Raw genomic sequence first — 7,835 nt, forward strand, 5'->3', positions numbered from 1 at the left:
GCTTCCTCACCATGAAACTTGGATACTGCATGTGCAATAGAAAATTTAAAAAAGAATGATTGCTGTTGTTTTAAGCATGGATGAGTGAAATGGTGGTGGGATGAAAGATGGGGATGTCAAAAGGTAGAGTTGATTTTGGGGGTGTAAATGATAAGGTGAATCTCAGATTGAGTGGGAAGTGCTAGCAGGGTGTGCCCATTGCTACACCTGACAGGCAGGTGGACCAACAGAACCACCTTAACCTGAGCAGGGAGGTCAGGCAGGGCTGGGAATTAGGATTCATGATTATCTGCATTGGAGTAGGAGATCATTCGCTGTGCAAGGCTGTTTAGGGGGAAAGAGAAGTTGGTTAAGGGCCAAATTATATTGGATGGAGTAGAGTGCTAGAAAGAGAAGGGAGGCTCAAGTGAAGAAGACAGAATTGAGGCAAGGAGAGGACAGGACAGCAGCAGGACCCAGGAGCTGTGAAGTACTGTGCAATGACTTGCTCAATATCCATTCCACCTGCGTCTGGAATGTCTTTCTGTACTATAGAGGCTGGAGAGCTGAAAACTATATTCCCTGGATTCCTTTGCAGCTGGAGAGTGTGGACGTGGTTTAGACTCTGTGAATCACATGCTTTTGAATGAGACTCGAGAGAAGATGTAGATAGCACTTCTGGTCACTTCTGCTGGCAACTAAGGTCATGGAGTTGTTGGACTTTGGGAAGAGAGGTTCTGCATCCAGGCATTAGCTTCATGGGGAACAAGAGGAGCAGGGGTGGAAATCCATGTTTAGCTTGTGTGGCTCTAGCACAAGGTTCAGTTGCGGTAGCTTCCTGACCTCTGGATCTCAGTTAAGGCAAAGATGTTGCTGAAGTCAGGGGTTCCAGCCAGGGGAAGCCTCCTGAATTCTCATCTTCCTGATGTATGAGCAGTAGCAGCTCCCCTGGTGGGTCAGATCTGCTGTGATCTTGGAGTCATTCCTGAAGGCCCATCTAGAGCAAGCTCTTTCAGCACTTTCAACAATTTAAAAAGCATTTAAAACCTCCTCTGCTTGAAAACACTGTGCTGGTTTCTATTTTTTGCCACTGAGCTTTGACTGATACAGAATCCAATGGAGAAAAAGATATTTAAGAATAAAGGGTTAATCATTAATTTGAAAGCTGCCAAAAGTTGAGAATTTCATTTATTCAATTCATTAAAAACAATTATCAAGTTCCTAATATATATCAGGCACCATGATGGACATTTGGGAATATTATATGGAGATGAGTAAAACAGTCTTTCCCTCAATGAATTCAGTCTAGTAGGGAATCATGAATACAAATGTGATAGACTGTGGCAAGTACAGTGATAGAGACATATTCGAGAAGTTAGTATGAGAAAAGAGGAAGGGTACTTAACCTAGCTTGGCACTCTGGGGAGGAAGGTTGGCTTCTTGAAGGTACATGAATTGAGTATTGGAAGATTAATATTTTTATTTAGCTAATAAATACCAAATACTTACTATAAGGTAAGCATGGTGCTAAGATCTTTACATTCAAGATCTCATTTGGCTCTCCAAACATTCTATGAGGTAGAGTATTATCACCACTTTACAAATACAACTGAGGTTCAGATCTGACTATCTGAAGGATTCCATGCAGAAGGAACAGCATCAGCAAAGAAGGGCGAGAAACATACGGCATGAGCTACAAGCAGTTAGGTTGGGTTGGAGCAAAGACCCGAGACTGAATGGGTATAGAGCATGCAATAAGTCAGAGGAGTGAACTGGGGCCACATCATGTGGGGTCGCAAAGATCACGTAAATATGGAAACTGTCTGCAATGGGGAACCCGTGATGGAAAATGATAGAAAACTCGCCTGGTAGAAGGTTGTGTGGAAAATGGATTCGAGGGTAGATGGAGGCAGAGAGTCTAGCTTCAAAGTTGTTGCTTTAGTTTCCTAGAGATGATGTAACAATGCACCACAAACTGCTTGGCTGAAAACAGAAGTTTATTGTCTCACAGTTCTGGAGGCTGACAGTCCAGACTCATGGTGTTGGTGATAAGGAAGGCGGGCAGGGAGGTGCTGGGAGGAGAAGGGCAGGTCCCTGGCGAGGTCTCCACCCCTGGGCCTGTGCCCATGGACCTAGGTGAAGACAGGCACTCCTGCCTTCGCACCCAAATGTTGCATTTCCTAAGACCATCCTGGCCGACCACGCCCCCATCCTTTGCCTATAAAAACCCTGAGACCCTAGCAAGCAGGCACACAAGCGGCTGGACATCCAGAGGAGCACATCAGCGGAAGAAGACACAAGTGGCTGGACGTCGAGGAGCCATCAAGGGGAGCACACCGGCATAAGAGCACACGACAGAGGCCAGCACACCAGCGGGCCATCGACTTGTGGAATGACACGGAGTTTGGCTGGGGTGGTTGGAGGAGAGCCCAGGCTGCTAAGCAGCCTAACTCCAGGGGAAAACCATCTCCCTTCTGGCTTCCCAATCTGCTGAGAGCTACTTCCACTCAGTAAAACCTTGCACTCATTCTCCAAGCCCACGTGTGATCCGATTCCTCTGGTACACCAAGGCAAGAACCCAGGATACAGAAAGCCCTCTGTCCTTGCCATAAGGCAGGGGCGTCTAATTGAGCTAACACAAGCCGCCAAACTGAAAGAGCACCCTGTAGCACATGCCCACTGCGGCTTCAGCTGTAAACATTCACCCCTAGACACTGCCGTGGGGTCGGAGCCCCACAACCTGCCTGTCTGCCTGCTCCCCCTAGGGGTTTTGAGCAGCGGGGCACCGAAGAAGCGAGCCACACTCCCATCACACACCCTGCAAGGGGGACAAGGGGACATTTCCTGTTTCATTGGTAGGGCCCTGCTCCCTCTGAGGCTCTGGGTAGAACCCTTGCTTGCCACTTCTCAGCTTCTGGTGGTGGCCGTGGATCCCTGGCATTCCTTGGCTTGCAACTGCATCCCTCCAGCCTCTGAATCTGTCACCCAATGATGCTCTCCTTGTCTCTGTCCACTTTTCTTATAAAAGTACCAATTGTATAATTAGACCCAACCTAATGACCTCATCTTGACTCAGTTACATCTGCAGAAACCTTATTTCCAAATGCAGTCAACATTCACAGGTACCCGGGTTTAGGACTTCAACATATCTTTCCGAGGCAGGTTCGGGTGAGGTCACAATTCAACCCCTAACAGAACAGGTAAAAGATGGGCACAGCTGGGATGGGCACAGTGGCAGGGGGGCTGAGCAGAATGGGCAGATTTTGGGGAAATGTTTAGAAAACAAGACCACCAGGGTTTGATGATTTGAGTCCCGAGTTGGGGCAGGGCAGCATACAAGCATTTTAGGCAGTTTTTAGGGATTGAATCCTAAACCAAATGTCAGACTTCCCTTTCTCTCTCCCTGGTGCCAAAAAACAGACTAACTCAGGATTCCTTTGTAAGAAGGATTTATTAGATTATATGGAAATGGACACGGTACAGAAGGTCTGTGGCACAGTCAGGGTTCTGCAGGACCCCAGAGCATCAGTAGAAATGCTGGTGTTCCACCTTCCCCAGGGCCGCCTTTGCCTGGGCTTCAGAGATGCAGCTGAGGCCTGGCCTCCAAATGCTGTGGGCAGTCCTGCAGGCCATCCTCTGGGCAGACTGGCCTGACTCACGGTGACTATTGTAGTTTCTGTGAACCTCTGGGTTTTGGTCCCACTGTTGTCGAGAGCCTTGACCAAGTGTAAACGAATCCATTACGGATGAAAGTTGCAGCCTTGGAGGGTGTCACAGCAGAGAAGAAAGAGCGGGAGCGGAGTTTGGCAGGCGAACATAAGCGTGGACCAGCAGCTGCAAGCTGGGAACTGTCAGGACAGCATCTTAGTTTGGACAGCAGGTTTCCTTCTAAACTGGAGGCCAGGAGCTCACAGCAGTGGCTTGGCTATGACAAGCAGGTTTTCTAGACTGAGTGAAGCACAGATGTCCCTAGATATGCTCCTGACCTAGAGGAGAGACCTGAAGGAAACATGAGCCTTCTCTCGACAGAGTCAAAAAGTTAAGGAGAGAGTGGTAACACGCATTATTTGCAGGAAGCCTGGAAGTTAACAGTAATGCTGATGCCTTTAGTAAAGAATACAGCTTCCATCTCTAGTACATTTCTAGTTTTGAAACTCTGCTACATTTCCATTTCATTCCCTCCTGTTGAGAAAACCTGAGCAAGAGATTATTTTTCCATGAGAAAGTGGGCCTTTAAGATTTTTTGGCCTTGTATTTCCTATATCTCCACTCCTAAAAACATTACCTTAATAAATATCAATATCATAGACTTAAATATTTAAATTTGGAGTACTTAAAATATTATAAAAGAGATAACTTGTGAGTCATCTTTGTGTTTATAATAGTGCTCCAAATTTTTAAAAATTAGCTACAAAATACTATTTTGAAATAATCGTTCATGTCAGTTTTTGTTTTGTAATGGAAATTTCTCTTCCAATGTAAATAAAGCATTTTGATATGAAAATTACAACATGCAAAGAGCTGCTGAGTACATTTTAGGCATCTCAAGTGGATTTTAATGTAACATTTTAATAGCTTTTACATTTCTTTTTACAAAACACAGCTATTTCATTAGCTATTCAGATTTCCTTACCACTTCCATTTGAACCCTATGAAAATATATGAAAAAATATATCCCCCACCCCCAACCAGCAATTTGTATAAGAATAGCAATTATTTTAAAAAGAACTTGCATAGTATTCTGAATTTATCATGTTGTTAGAAAGGCTGCCTATTGGATTTTTTTGAGATTTTCAGAAAATGCTGCAAACTGGACACTCCAGTTCTTCCAGATATTGGTAGCCGCGGCGCAGAGGCAATGCTGTGTGGTTAGGAGTGATTACACCACCAGAGACTTCAGGACTATGAAGAGGAAAAAGTAGTGTTTTTAAAAAATAAGGAGATCTTACTAAAAAGGATCTGGGACAGAGGCATGAAGGAAGTGAACAGGATTCAACAGCTGAGAACCATCAGCCAGAACATAAAGGATAGGGAAGAAAATAGATGATAACAGGCTTATGGCCATGTGGAAGTGAACACACACTCACCAGTGTTAATTTACATCCAAGACTAACTGAAATTATGCTGAAAACATTATTCACTGGCTGGTGCATATCTGTGACAAAATGACAGAACACTAAGAGTTCTTCCAGTTAAATTTATTCATTTTTTAAAAATTCTGAGCTATGTTATTGTTAACAGATAAAATACCACTTGTTTTATAAAACTACACTGATAGTCCTCAGTTCAGGTTTTCCTGGAAGCTGACCTTATGATGATGATGTGAGTACAAGTAGTTTATCTGGGAGGCAAAGGGAACCCCAGTAAGAAAATGTAGCCAAAAAATTAAGGGTTACAAAGCCAGCTACCACTGTGACGGACAGATGCTTGATCTGGTGAAGAAGCTCTAGGCAAAGTGTAAGTATACATGTAAGAGTTGGCACACCCCAGGCAGGAGCGGGGACCATATTTACAGACTCTGTGTGTCACTGATTGAAAGCTGCTTCCCAGGTCTTAACTTCCTGGCACTTCTGGCTGCCACATACTGGGGCAGGGCTGGCTTTTGACAAGAGCCCTCAGATATGTCAATGTGGGATGTACAGTCTCGGGGAACAAGTTACCAAGAGTGGCCTTTTATTTCCACTGTTCCTACCATGGCAAAATCATGTCAGTCATTGATGTTGGGTTCCCACTTACTTTCCAACCCTCCCCAAACCCAAAAGCCTGGGACACTGATACTCCACCAGCCAGAGGTCATGTCAGTTGATGACATGAATGACAGTATAGGGCAGGTGCAGCTCAGAGTGAGACAAATTCTTGCCAATCATTCTGACGGGGAAGGATGACTCTGGAACTAGCAAGAGAAGCACTGAAGGATGCCTTTCCTGACCCTCACATCCAACAAGGGCCTCCAAATCCTCGCCTTCCTGATCCATTTGTTGTTGTTGTTGTTGTTGAGATAGAGCCTTGCTTGGTCACCCAGGCTGGAGTGCAGTGGTGCAATCTCGGCTCACTGCAACCTCCACTTCTCAGGTTCAAACGATTCTCCTGCCTAGGCCTCCCGAGTAGCTGGGATTACAAATGTTTGCCACCACACCTCGCTAATTTTTGTATTTTTAGTAGAGATGCGGTTTCACCATGTTGGTCAGGCTGGTCTGGAACTCCTGACCTTAAAGTGATCCACCCGCCTTGGTCTCCTAGAGTGTTGGGATTACGGGTGTGAGCCACCCTGCCTGACCCCATCTCTTTTTTGATAACACCTTCTGGTAAGGCGGCTCCACTTATGGAGGAGAAGGAATCATTACACACAGCTGGAACGAGATGTGCTTCACAGTCCTCTTGGAAACTGCTTTAGAAACTTCTCACTGCCCCAGCTTCCTGTAGCACCTCCTGGAGGCTGGCCAGTGTCAACTAACTTCTGGAAAAGCAGTTAACCATCCCTATATTTGCAGCCAACAAGGTAACTCTAATTGTGTCAAAGGATGTCAAAAAAGCCTCCAAATATGTGAAAATAAAAATAAAATTCTTTTTGGAAAGAAAACATTTTGGGAGAGATGGAAAGGGAAGTGATTGTGAAATGGTAATATGGTAGCAACTCAATGATTACAAATTCTAAACTTGCAATACTGCCCTGAAGAAAACAGTTCATATCCATTTAGCTTGCTTGGTATACTACTACCTAGAATGGGCATCTTAAAAAAAAAAAGAAAGACTAATGACATTTAAGGCCACTATTAGAGTGAAGATCCCACTTACAGGGGCAGATACCTGCCACTCTTTGGACTTTCAGAGACCCTGTCTTCCACAAGTATCTCAAACTAAACGCAAAAGTTTTTTTTTTTTGAGATGGAGTTTCACTCTTGTCACCCAGGCTGGAGTGCAGTGGCACGATCTTGGCTCACTGCAACCTCTGTCCCAGGTTCAAGCGATTCTCGTGCCTCAGCCTCCCGAGTAGCTGGGACTACAGACGTGCACCACCACGCCCAACTAATTTTTGTATTTTTAGTAGAGATGGGGTTTTTACCATGTTGACCAGGCTGGTCTCGAACCCCTGGCCTCAGGTGATCCACCTGCCTCGGCCTCCCAAAGTGCTGGGATTACAGGCGTGAGCCACCATGCCCGGCCTTAAACACAAAAGTTTTAACATTTATTGAAAAATTACTGAGAAACTTTATACTCATTTAATTCAACCTTAATAATTAAGACACGCCGGCATGAGGGCCGGGCGTGGTGGCTCACGCCTGTAATCCCAACACTTTGGGAGGCCGAGGTGGGCGGATCACGAGGTCAGGAGTTCGAGACCAGCCTGGCTGACATGGTGAAACCCCATCTTACTAAAATACAAAAAATTAGCTGGGCATGGTGGTGTGCGCCTGTAGTCCCAGCTACTTGGGAGGCTGAGGCAGGGGAATCGCTTGAACCTGGGAGGCAGAGGTTGCAGTGAGCTGAGATCGTGCCACTGCACTCCAGCCTGGCAACACAGCAAGACCCCATCTCAAAAAATAATAATAATAATAATAAAGACAACTCCATGAGATAAGTGTTATTCTCCCACTTAGCAATGAAAATATCCAGATACAGAGAACACAATTAACTTACCAAGCTTCCTATGGTTAATTACTGGCAAACCTGATACTTAACCACCTAAGTGTAACTCCAGATGCTGGCTCTTCATTTTTCTATTGCTTCTAACATTAGCACCTTGCCTTCTGACCCTCTCCCTTTACTCTTCCACAAGGTATTTAGAGATCCAGTAATTCAAAAGTGATTGTCAGTCCTTTTTTAGTGTATACTTTAATTTTTAGGGTTTTTTGTTG

General features: G+C 45.1%; 1 annotated feature.

Moving 5' to 3' along the window:
* Window positions 2,263–2,762: an enhancer, noted in NCBI's record as "H3K4me1 hESC enhancer chr6:136655703-136656202 (GRCh37/hg19 assembly coordinates)". NCBI's record gives its function as "activates a minimal SCP1, AML or CMV promoter by ChIP-STARR-seq in naive H9 embryonic stem cells {active_cell/tissue: H9 hESC(naive)}" and the evidence as "EXISTENCE:reporter gene assay evidence [ECO:0000049][PMID:30033119]".

This window comes from Homo sapiens, chromosome 6 (assembly GCF_000001405.40).
Source record: "Homo sapiens chromosome 6, GRCh38.p14 Primary Assembly".
NCBI lineage: Eukaryota > Metazoa > Chordata > Mammalia > Primates > Hominidae > Homo > Homo sapiens.